This window comes from Homo sapiens, chromosome 9, assembly GCF_000001405.40.
Source record: "Homo sapiens chromosome 9, GRCh38.p14 Primary Assembly".
NCBI classification, from domain to species: Eukaryota; Metazoa; Chordata; class Mammalia; order Primates; family Hominidae; genus Homo; species Homo sapiens.
Genome location: NC_000009.12, coordinates 63387699 through 63401164, shown reverse-complemented (window position 1 = coordinate 63401164; position 13466 = coordinate 63387699). Strand labels below are relative to the sequence as shown.

The 13466-nt window shown below is 46.4% G+C and overlaps 1 pseudogene; it reads right to left on the bottom strand.

Annotated features, from left to right (window-relative positions):
• Window positions 1-6057: 6057 nt before the first annotated feature.
• Window positions 6058-12516, bottom strand: LOC124902166 (formin-2-like; annotated as a pseudogene).
• Between the last annotated feature and the right edge of the window lie 950 nt (window positions 12517-13466).

Genomic DNA, 13466 nt, shown 5'->3' with positions numbered 1-13466 from the left:
TCATCTCATTTCATCTCATCTTTCAATTTCATTTCAATATCATCAATTCATCATTTCATTTCATTATTTCATTTCATTTCAATTCATCTCATCATTTTTCATCTCATCATCTCATTTCATCATTTCATCTCATTTCTTCTCATTTCATCTCATTTTATCTCATTTCATCTCATCTCATTTCAATTTCATTTCATTATTTCATTTCACTTCATTTCATTTCATCTCATCACTTTATCTCATCTCATTTCATCAAATCATTTCTTCTCATCTCATCTCATTTCATCATTTCATCTCGTTTCATCTCATTTCATCTCATCTCACCTCATCTCATCATTTCATCTCATCCTTTCATTTCATCTCATCGTTTCATCTCACCTCAGCATTTCATCATTTCATCTCATCATTTATTTCATCTCATTTTATCTCATTTCATCTCATATCTCAATTCAATTTCCTTTCATTATTTCATTTCATCTCATTCATTTCATCTCATTTCATTACATCTCATCATTTCCTCTCATCATTACATCTCATCTCATCTCATCATTTCATCTCATCATTGCATCTCATCATTATATCTCATCATTCATCTCATTTCATCTCATCATTTCCATTTCATTATTTCATTTCATCATTTAATTTCATCATCTCATTTAATTTCACCTCATTTCATTATTTCATTTCATTTTTTCATTTCATTGTCATTTCATTTCATCTCATTACATTTCATCTAATTTCATTTCACCTCATTTCATCTCATCATTTCATCTTTTCATCTCATTTCATCTCATCATCTCATCAACTCTTTTCATCTTATCTCATCATTTCATTTCATCTCATCATTTCATCTCATCTCGTATCTTATCTCATTTCAATTTCATTTCATTATTTCATGTCATCTCATCTCATCTCATCTCATCATTTCATGTCATCATTTCATCTCATCACATCTCATTTCATCATTTTATTTCATCATCTCATCATTTCATCTCATCTCATTTCGATTTTATTTCAATTTCATTTCACTATTTCATTTCATCTCATCATTTCATCTCACCATTTCATTTCATCATCTCATCTCATCATTTCATTTCATCATTCATCTCATCATTTCATATCATCATTTTATCTCATCTATCATTTCATCTCATTTCATCTCATCCCATTCCATCATTACATCTCATTTCATCTCATTTTATGTCATCATTTCATGTCATCATTTCATCACATCTCATCTCATCATTTCATCATTTCATCTCATTTCAACTCATTGCATCTCAGCTCATCATTTCCATTTCATTATTCCATTTCATCATTTCATTCATTATGTCATTTCATCTCATCATATTTCATCTCATCTCATCATTTCATCTCATTTTATCTCATCTCATCATTTCATCATTTCATCTCATCATTTCTTCTCATCTCATCATTTCCATTTCATTTTCATTTCATTATTTCATCATTTCATTATTTTATTTCATCTCATTTCATTATTTCATTTCATTATGTCATTTCATTTCATCTCATTACATTTCATCTAATTTCATTTCACCTCATTTCATCTCATCATTTCATTTCATCTCATCATTTCATCTTTTCATCTCATTTCATCTCATCATCTCAACCCTTTTCATCTTATCTCATCATTTCATCATTTCATCTCATCATTTCATCTCATCTCGTATCTTATCTCATTTCAATTTCATTTCATTATTTCATGTCATCTCATCTCATCTCATCATTTCATGTCATCATTTCATCTCATCACATCTCATCATTTCATCATTTTATTTCATCTCATCATTTCATCTCATCTCATTTCGATTTTATTTCAATTTCATTTCACTATTTCATTTCATCTCATCATTTCATCTCACCATTTCATTTCATCATCTCATCTCATCATTTCATTTCATCATTCATCTCATCATCTCATCATTCATCTCATCATTTCATATCATCATTTTATCTCATCTATCATTTCATCTCATTTCATCTCATCCCATTCCATCATTACATCTCATTTCATCTCATTTTATGTCATCATTTCATGTCATCATTTCATCACATCTCATCATTTCATCTCATCATTTCATCATTTCATCTCATTTCAACTCATTGCATCTCAGCTCATCATTTCCATTTCATTATTCCATTTCATCATTTCATTCATTATGTCATTTCATCTCATCATATTTCATCTCATCTCATCATTTCATCTCATTTTATCTCATCTCATCATTTCATCATTTCATCTCATCATTTCTTCTCATCTCATCATTTCCATTTCATTTTCATTTCATTATTTCATCATTTCATTATTTTATTTCATCTCATTTCATTATTTCATTTCATTATGTCATTTCATTTCATCTCATTACATTTCATCTAATTTCATTTCACCTCATTTCATCTCATCATTTCATCTCATCATTTCATCTTTTCATCTCATTTCATCTCATCATCTCAACCCTTATCTTATCTCATCATTTCATCATTTCATCTCATCATTTCATCTCATCTCGTATCTTATCTCATTTCAATTTCATTTCATTATTTCATGTCATCTCATCTCATCTCATCATTTCATGTCATCATTTCATCTCATCACATCTCATCATTTCATCATTTTATTTCATCATCTCATCATTTCATCTCATCTCATTTCGATTTTATTTCAATTTCATTTCACTATTTCATTTCATCTCATCATTTCATCTCACCATTTCATTTCATCATCTCATCTCATCATTTCATTTCATCATTCATCTCATCATCTCATCATTCATCTCATCATTTCATATCATCATTTTATCTCATCTATCATTTCATCTCATTTCATCTCATCCCATTCCATCATTACATCTCATTTCATCTCATTTTATGTCATCATTTCATGTCATCATTTCATCACATCTCATCATTTCATCTCATCATTTCATCATTTCATCTCATTTCAACTCATTGCATCTCAGCTCATTTCCATTTCATTATTCCATTTCATCATTTCATTCATTATGTCATTTCATCTCATATTTCATCTCATCTCATCATTTCATCTCATTTTATCTCATCTCATCATTTCATCATTTCATCTCATCATTTCTTCTCATCTCATCATTTCCATTTCATTTTCATTTCATTATTTCATCATTTCATTATTTTATTTCATCTCATTTCATTATTTCATTTCATTATGTCATTTCATTTCATCTCATTACATTTCATCTAATTTCATTTCACCTCATTTCATCTCATCATTTCATTTCATCTCATCATTTCATCTTTTCATCTCATTTCATCTCATCATCTCAACCCTTTTCATCTTATCTCATCATTTCATCATTTCATCTCATCATTTCATCTCATCTCGTATCTTATCTCATTTCAATTTCATTTCATTATTTCATGTCATCTCATCTCATCTCATCATTTCATGTCATCATTTCATCTCATCACATCTCATCATTTCATCATTTTATTTCATCATCTCATCATTTCATCTCATCTCATTTCGATTTTATTTCAATTTCATTTCACTATTTCATTTCATCTCATCATTTCATCTCACCATTTCATTTCATCATCTCATCATTTCATTTCATCATTCATCTCATCATCTCATCATTCATCTCATCATTTCATATCATCATTTTATCTCATCTATCATTTCATCTCATTTCATCTCATCCCATTCCATCATTACATCTCATTTCATCTCATTTTATGTCATTTCATGTCATCATTTCATCACATCTCATCTCATCATTTCATCTCATCATTTCATCATTTCATCTCATTTCAACTCATTGCATCTCAGCTCATTTCCATTTCATTATTCCATTTCATCATTTCATTCATTATGTCATTTCATCTCATCATATTTCATCTCATCTCATCATTTCATCTCATTTTATCTCATCTCATCATTTCATCATTTCATCTCATCATTTCTTCTCATCTCATCATTTCCATTTCATTTTCATTTCATTATTTCATCATTTCATTATTTTATTTCATCTCATTTCATTATTTCATTTCATTTCATCTCATTACATTTCATCTAATTTCATTTCACCTCATTTCATCTCATCATTTCATTTCATCTCATCATTTCATCTTTTCATCTCATTTCATCTCATCATCTCAACCCTTTTCATCTTATCTCATCATTTCATCATTTCATCTCATCATTTCATCTCATCTCGTATCTTATCTCATTTCAATTTCATTTCATTATTTCATGTCATCTCATCTCATCTCATCATTTCATCTCATCATTTCATCTCATCACATCTCATCATTTCATCATTTTATTTCATCATATCATTTCATCTCATCTCATTTCGATTTTATTTCAATTTCATTTCACTATTTCATTTCATCTCATCATTTCATCTCACCATTTCATTTCATCATCTCATCTCATCATTTCATTTCATCATTCATCTCATCATCTCATCATTCATCTCATCATTTCATATCATCATTTTATCTCATCTATCATTTCATCTCATTTCATCTCATCCCATTCCATCATTACATCTCATTTCATCTCATTTTATGTCATCATTTCATGTCATCATTTCATCACATCTCATCATTTCATCTCATCATTTCATCATTTCATCTCATTTCAACTCATTGCATCTCAGCTCATCATTTCCATTTCATTATTCCATTTCATCATTTCATTCATTATGTCATTTCATCTCATCATATTTCATCTCATCTCATCATTTCATCTCATTTTATCTCATCTCATCATTTCATCATTTCATCTCATCATTTCTTCTCATCTCATCATTTCCATTTCATTTTCATTTCATTATTTCATCATTTCATTATTTTATTTCATCTCATTTCATTATTTCATTTCATTATGTCATTTCATTTCATCTCATTACATTTCATCTTTCATCTCATAATTTCATCCATCATTTCATTTCATTTCATCATTTCATCTCATGATTTCATCTCATCTCATTATCTCATTTCATCTCATTATTTCATCTCATTTCATCTCATCTCATTTCATCATTTCATTTCACCATTACATCTCATCATTTCAACTCATCTCATTTCAATTTCATCATTACATTTCATAATTTCCTTTCATTATTTCATTTCATTTCATCTCATTTCATTATTTCATTTCATCTCATTTTTCATCTCATCATTTTTCATCTCATTTCATTTCATCATTTCATCTCATCGTTCATCTCATCTCATCATTTTATCTCATTATTTCATCTCATATCATCTCATTACAATTTCATTATTTCATATCATTTCATTATTTCATTTCATCTCGTTTCATCTCATTTCATCCATCATCTCATTTCATCTCATTTTATCTCATCTCCTCTCCTTTCAATTTCTTTTCAATTTTGTCATTTCATCTCATCATTTCATCTCATCATTTCTACTCACCATTTCATCTCAAAATTTCATCTCATCATCTCATCTCATCATTTCGTCATTTCATCTCATTATTTCATCTCAAGTCATCATTTCATCTAAGTGAAATGATGTAATGGAATCATGAAATGAAATGGATAGGATGCCCTCACTGATGTTAAATTTAAAAATTGTTTCTTTTCATGTATGCATTTTTATATTTATATTTACTTATAGTTATTTTTACTTTTTATTTATATTTTTACTTATTTCTTTATTTATAAACAAGGTCCTGTTCTGTGGCCTAGGCTGGAATGCAGTGGTGCATTCACAGTTCACTGAAGCCTCAAGCAAACCTCCCACCTTAGCCTCCCAGGTAGCTGGGACCCCAGGTGCGCACCACCACACCTGGTTAATATTTTATTATTTGCAGAGATGGAGTCTTGCTATTCTGCCCAGGCTGGTCTCAAACTCCTGGGCTCAAGCAATCCTCCTGCATTGGCAACCCAAAATGCTGGGAGGACAGATATGAGCCACAGTGCCCAACCTATTTATTTATTTATTTATTTATTTAATAAAGACAAGGTCTCACTATGTTGCCCAGGCTGGTCAACTCCTGGACTCAAATGATTCTCCAAACTTGGCCTCTCAAAATGTTGGGATTACAGGTATGAGCCACCATGCTTGGCCTAAAAATAGTATTATATTTTTGTATCATATAATTTTCAATTAGGTATTATGAATATTCTGTACAGGAAACACACCCTTAATTACATAGGAATAAACATTTGTTACACTGAGAAAAATCTAATAGAGCTAAAAATAAAAATTAATTTGGAAAGGTCATTAGATACTGATACATTCTTACGTTTATACATTCTTTCATATATTCATATATCCTTTTAACAGTATCAATGGTTTGGAGTTACGTGTACAAAGCCATGACCCATATGTAATACAACTAATAACAGGCACTTACAATTCAAGGCATATTATATACAAAGCTTTAACTTCTTATCAAAATATTTTACTTTTTTCTTTCTGTTTTGGCAGATACTATGAACACAACATTCAACTCACAGACACCATGGAGCCCTTACTAAGCATAAAGTACTGTGAAAGGCCAGGGCTAGGACAGAACTGAGACAGGGCCAGGGATAGGACAGAACTGGGGCAGGGTCATGGCCAGAGAAAAACCAGGGGCAGGGTCACAGCCAGGGACATGAGAGGACCAAGGCCAGGTCCAGAAGCAGGGAAGAACCAGGGCCAGGGCAGGGACATGGCAGGGCCAGGGCCATGGCAGGATCAGGGTCAGCAGAAGGCCAGGGCAGGGCTAGGGTGGCACAGGGCCAAGGCAGGGCAGGGTCAGTGTAGAGCAAGGAACGGGCCAGGGTATGGCAGGGCAGGGACAGGGAGGTCCAGGGCCAGAGTCAGGTCCAGGACATGGACAGGGCAGGGCCAGAAACATGGCAGGACCAGAAAGGGGACAGGGCAAGGGCAAGGCCAGAGAAGGACCATGGGAAAAACATGGCCAGGGAGGGTCCAGGGCAAGGGCAAGTCCAGGGCAGAACCAGAGCCAGAGCAGGCCAAAGGCAGGGCCAGGGCAGGGCAAGGCCAGGATAGGGCAGGGCCAGTGTAGGGTGAGGGTAGGACCAGGGTGAGTTCAGGGCCAGGGCAGGACTAAGATAGCACAGGGCTAAGGCAGGGCCAAAAGGAGGGGCCAGGGCCAAGCATGGCCAGTGTCAGACCTGGGGATTGTCAGGGTCAGGGTCAAGGCTGGTCCAGGGACAGGGCCAGAGCAAGGGCAGGGCCAGGGAGAAAGCAGAACCAGAGAGGATCCAGAGCAAGGCCAGGGTCAGGGCAGAACCAGGACCAGGATAAGGCAAAGCCAAGGCCAGGGCAGGGCAAGGCCAGGGCAGGGCAAGACCAGGGAAGGGCAAGGCCAGGGTAGAAAAGGCCAGGGTAGGAGAAGGCCATGGTAGGGCCAAGGCCAAGGCAGGGCAGGGCTAGGGTAGCACAGGGCACGGCCAAAAACAGAGCAGGGCCATAGCAGTGGCAGGACTAGCAACAGGGCTAGGGCAAGCGCTGGACCAGAGCATGGTGGGGACAATATAGGGCCAGGACAGAGGATGGCAAGGCAGGTCCAGGGCCATTTCATGGACTCAGTAGGCCTGGGGTCAGGCCAGGGCAGGGCAAAGGCAAGGCCAGGAAGAAGGCAGGGCCGGGGCCAAGGCAGTGCCAGGGCAGGGCAGGACCAGTGCAGGGCCAATGCAGGGTGAGGGCAAGGCCAGGGCATGGAAGGGCAGGGCAGGATCAAGGAAGGGCCAGGAGAGGGCCACGGCAGGGTCATGGCGAGAACAAGGGTATGGCTGGGGTCAGGAATATGGTAGGATGAGGGCTGGGCCCAGGCTGGGGCACGCAGGGCAGAGCATGGTCTGTGCAAGGCATGGCCAGAGCCAGGCCATAGAGATGGGAGGGCAACACCAAGGCAGAGTCAGGGTAGATCCAGGGCTGAGCAGAGTCAGGGCAGGTCCAGAGTCGAGGCAGAGCTAGGGCCCAAGCAGGGCCATGGTAGCACCAGGGCAGAGGAGGGCAGGGCAATGCAGGACTGGGCCATGGCAGTGCCTGGTCAACTCCGGGGCAGGGCCAGAAGCAGGACAGGGCCAGGGCCAATGCTCAGGCCAGGGACAGGGCATGACAGGACGTGCCAGAGCAGGGCTGGGCCAACGTTGGGGCAGGGCAAATCAGACCAGGACACCTCCAAGTCCAGCTCTGGCCCTGCCTTGGCCCTGGCCCCTTCCTGGCCTGACCTTGTCCCTGGCCCTGCCCTATCCATGCCCTGTGTGTTTGACCAGTGTTTTATAACCAGAATCCTACAAGAAACTTAAATTAGTTCTTTTTGTGCATTTTTAGTAGAGATGGGGTTTCACAATGTTGCCCAGGCTGGTTCCAAACTCCTGAGCTCAAGCCATCTGCCTGCCTTGGCCTCCCAAAGTGCTGGGATTACAGGAGTAATCTGGCCAAGTATTTACCTTCTTTTTGCCTGTTTCCTACATTTGGAAAATGGGGATGCTTTAAGTACCTAGCATATAGAATTATTATGAGAATCAATGCCTCACATATTTACATGTTGATAAAATTATACTCATAGAACACTACTGGAAGCAAAGATAGTATTAGTTAAAATTTAGTGATTACTGCAAGTATTATTACTATTACAAACAACATAGTATAGACATTACTACTACTATAGTTATCTTAAAAATCTAAAATAAAAATTTTAGTAATAGCCTAAAGTAATCTCTCCTGCTCTGCCCTGGCTCAGCCCTAGTGCCGGCTCTGCCCCTAGTCCTACTACATCCCTGGCCCTGACCCTTCCCTGGTCCAGCCGCTGCCCTGGCCCTTCCCATCTTCAGGCCTTAACATGGCCCTACCCTGGTCCTGACCCTGCCCTGGTCTGGTCCTGACCCTGGCCCTACCCCAGAGAAGGGGTATGGCAGAGCCAGGGAAGGGCCGGGGCAAATAAGGGACAGGACACATCCAAATCCAGGAACGGGCCAGGGCCATGACAGAGCCAGGGCGAGTCCTTGGCAGGGCCAGGTTCCAGGCCAGGACCAGGAAAATGTCATGGCAGGGTCACTGTATGGCCAAGGTCCAGGCCAAAGCCAAGGCAGTGGCAGGGTCAGGTCTGCATAAGGGCAGGACCAGAGCCAGTGATATGGCAGGGCCAGGGCCAGGGCCAGGGCTGTGCCAGGACAGAACAAGAGCAGAGCAGGGCAGGACCACAGCCAGGCCATAGAGAGAGTAGGGCAAATGCCAAGGCAATGCCAGGGTAGTGCCAGGGCTGAGGCAAGGTCAGGGAAGGTCCAGGGCTGAGTCAAGGCTAGAACCAAGATGGGGCAAAGGCCGGGGCAGATCTAGGGCACAAGCGGGGCAGATCTAGGGCACAAGCAGGGCAAGCTAGGGCAGGGCAATGGCAAGACCAGGCCATGGCAGGGCCAGCCCAGGATAGAACAGGGCACAGGCAGGGCAGGGCCAGGGCCACGGCTGGGGCAGGACAAGGACCAGGACCGGGGTCCAGGCCAGGGCAAGGGTATGGCCAGGGCAGAGGTAGGGCCAGAGCCAGGGTCTGGGCAGGACCAAGGCAGGTCTATTGCAGGGCCAGGGTTCAGACCAGGGCCAGAGCAGGGCTGGGACAGGGCCAGGGCCAGAACCAGGAAAGGGCAATGTCAGGACAAGGGCCATGGCAGGACCAGCAACGGGGCTAGGACCAGGACAGGGACAGGGACAGGGTCAGGGCTAGGGCCAGAATAGCATGCCAGGGTAGAGCCAGGCCAAATTAGGGCCAGGGCTGGGCCAGGGTATGGCCTTAAGTAGTGAAGGGCCAGGGCCAGGGTCCATGCCAGTGCCAGCGCCGGTCCAGGGCAGACGCAGGGCCATGGCCAGGTCTAGGACAAGGCTGTGGCAGGGCCAAGGTCTGGGTCAGGGTCAGCATAAGACCAGGACAGAGCCAGGGGAGGGACAGGGCCATGGTAAGACCAGGTTAAACCATGGACAAGACACCTGCAAATCCACTTCAGGGCCAGGGTCAGGGCAGGGCCAGTTCAGGGCCAGGGTAAGGGCTGCCAGGGTCATTGGCAGGGCCAGGGCCATGGCAGGATCAGGGTCAGGAGCAGGGGTCAATGCCAGGCCAAGGCCACAGATAGGACCAGGTCTGTGCTAGGGCCAGTGTGAGGGCCAAGACGGGGTCAGGGCAGGGCCAAAGGGAGGGCAGGGCCAGGGCAGGGTGGAGCAGGCCCAGGGTAGCACAGGGTTAAGGTAGGGCACGACCAACCAGGGCAGGTCTATGGCTGGGGCCGGGGCAGGGCCAGGGCCGGGGCAGGGCCAGAGCCAGGGCAGGGCCAAGACAGTGGCAGCTCCAGGGCAGGGCCAGGGTTAGGACCACGGACATGTCCAAGGCCAGTGCCAGGGCAAGGGCAAGGGCAGGGGCAGGGGCAGGGTCATCTAAGAATTAGGGACAAAGCCAGGCCCAGAGCTGGGCCAGGACCGGTACCTGCAGGGCTAGGGTCTGGGCCAGGGCCACAACCAGGTCTGTGCTATGGCCAGGTCCAACACAGTGCTCTGGTAAGGCTAGGGTGAAGGCCAAGGTAGGGCCAGGGCAGGGTCAAAGCCAGGCTAGGGCCAAGGCAGGGCCAGGAAAGCATAGGGCCAGGGCAGGGCAGGGCCAGGCCAGTGCCAAGACCTGGGCAGGGCCAGGGCCAGGGCCATAGAAACGGCCTGGGCAGGACCAGGTTCGGGGCAGGAGCAAAACAAGGGCAAGGACAGTGCAGGTTCTTGGCACAGCCAGGGTCCAGGACAGTGTCAGGGCAGGGCCAAGGCAGGGTCTGGGCCATGGTAAGACCAGCAACAGGGCTGGGGCTAGGTCAGTGACAGGACCAGAGTCAGGGCAAGGGCCAGAGCAGGGCAAGGCCAGGGTAGGGCCAGGCATTTCAGGGTCAGGGCCATGGGAGAACCAGGGCAAGGTCTCAAGCAGGGAAGGGCCAGGGCCAGGACAGGTCCAGGGCAGGGTCATGACAGGGCCAGGGGCTGCATTAGGGCAAGGGCAGGGCCAGAGCAAGGTAAGGGTCAGGGCCAAGGCTAGGGTAGGGACAGGGCAAGAAATATGGCAGGACCAGGGGCAATGCCAAGGCCAAGGCTGAGTCAGGGCTGAGTCAGGGCAGGGCAGGGCATGGTATGGCCAGTGCAGGACAGGACAAGAGCCGGTCCACAGAGAGAGCAGGGCTGATGCCAAGAATGAGCCAGGCTAGTGCCAAGGCTGAGGCAGTGTCAGAGCATGTCCAGGGCAGGGCCGGGGCCAGGGCCAGAACCGAGCCAGGGCACAGCCAAGGCAGGGTAGGGCGGGGAAATAGCGTGGCCGGGTCAGTACTGGGACAGGGCAGAGCAGGGCAAGGCGATGGTAGGGGCAGGGCAGAGACAGGCCAATGCAGAGCCATGTTACACCGGGGCCAGGACACCTCCAAGTCCACTTCAGGGCCAAAGCTATGGCAGGACAAAGACCAGGGCCAGGGTCAGAGCCAGGTCTGTGCTGGGCCTAGCGAAGACTAGGGTGAGGGCCAAGGCAAGGCCAGGGCAGGGTCAAAGGCAGAGTAGAGCCAGGGCAGGGTGATGACACATCCAGAGCACAGCAGGGCAGGGTGATGGCAAGACCAGGGGCAGACCACTGCCAGCTCAGGGCCAGGGAAAGGCCAGTGCAGAGCCAGGAAAGGGTCTGGGTCTGGGTCAGGGCCAGGAACAAGGCAGAGCAGGGCCAGGGCCATGGCAGAGTCAGGGCAGGTCCTTGACAGGACCAGGTTCCAGGCCAGGGCCAGGGCAGCAGCAGGGGCAGGGCCTGGATAAGGGCAGGGTCAGGGATATGGCAGGACCAGGGCTAGGGCCAGGGCCAGGCCATAGTGAGGGCAGGGCAAAAGCCAAGGCAGGGTCAGGGCAGGTCCAGGGCAGGTCCAGGAAGCGGCCAGCACCAAGCGGGGCCAAGGCACAACCAGCGCAGGGTAAGGCAGGGCAATGGCACCACTGGGCCATGACAGGGCCAGGTCAGTGCCAGGAGAGGGCAGAACAGGAAGGCCCATGGTGGGGCCAGGGCAGGGATGGGCCAAAGCAGAGCCAGGACATTTCCAAGGCCAGGTCAGGGCCAGAACAGGAGCAGGACCATGACCACTGGCAGGGCCAGTGCCATGACAGGACCAGGGTCAGGACAAGGGGCAGGGCCAGAGCCAGGGCCAGAGCCAAGGTCAGGCCAGTGCAGGTTCAGGGCAGGGCCAGTGCCAGGGCAAGACCAGGGCAGGGACAGGGTAGCACGGGGCCAAGACAGGGTCAGGATGGGACCAGAGCAGGACAGGGCTGAGAGTCCAGGTAACAGTAGGGCAGGTACAGGGCAAGGCAGGGCAGTACAGGGCCAGATCCACGGCAGGCACAGGGCAAAGCCAGGCCCATTGCCAATGCACCAGCCCTCCCTACAAGGCTCCTACTACCTGGCCACTGCTGCAGCCCGTCCATCACTGTAAGCCTGACTCCCAACCCTGCCTGCAGCCGCCCGCCCTCCTAGCGTGGCCACTCTCCTACCGCTCTGGCGCACTGCAGTCTCCGTCACTGCCACCCACCCGCAGCGAGGTGAGCCGTGGTGTTGCAGGCTCTAGGTGTCTCCTCCTCCTCCTGGCATGGAGCAGCTGGGCGGGCAAAGCCAGAAAAGCCTAGAGGAAGTTGTGAGGAGTGGAAGCGTTAGAGCCTCAAGTTGTCGTGCCGGCCACTGGGTGGCAGGGGCCAGTTTCAGCAAAGGCACTCACACCCACCCTCCAAAGTCCAGCCTCTCCTTTTGGCCCAAGCTGGCCGGGAACTGGGGTCTGGGGTGGGTGCTGGAGACACCACAGCACCCAGCTCCCCACTCCACAGGAACCACTGGGCCCACCGGGGCTGCACTCCTCGGGGAACAGGAGAAGCAGAAAAATTCAGACCCAGCCAGCCCTCCGCACCCAGGTGCCAATTCCTGTTCCGGATGCCTCCACACACAGGGCCCTGTTCCCCGTGGTGTCCCCAGGGGTGCCTGGCAGCCTCTGAGGCACAGACCCAGAGTGCACAGGCCCAGGAACCACGGTGGGTGTGGGGGCTCTGCCATGCTCAGGATTCCCATGCAAACGCTGCGTACCCTGCCGCACTCCAGTATGACCAAGAGTGGTTCGCCCTCTGGAGTGTGGAGTCAGGGAGAGGAGAACCACTCCTTCCTTGGATGCCAACTCTGTTGACTGCCGCCAGCAGTGCAGCCCCTGATAGCACCGAACTCGCCCCCGCTCCACGGCTAGTCCTGCCCTCAATAGCGCCCCCCACCTCCGTCCCCCAATGCCGCCAGTAGCATATACCCGATATGCCCTAACCTGTCCTCCTCCATGGGCATTGCAGCCCCAGAAAGCACCCATAACCCACCCTCCCTGCTGTGGGCAGTGCAGCCCTGTGCAGTGCTACCAACCAGTACCCCTAATGCAGGCAATGACACCCTGGATAGCGCCCCCAAC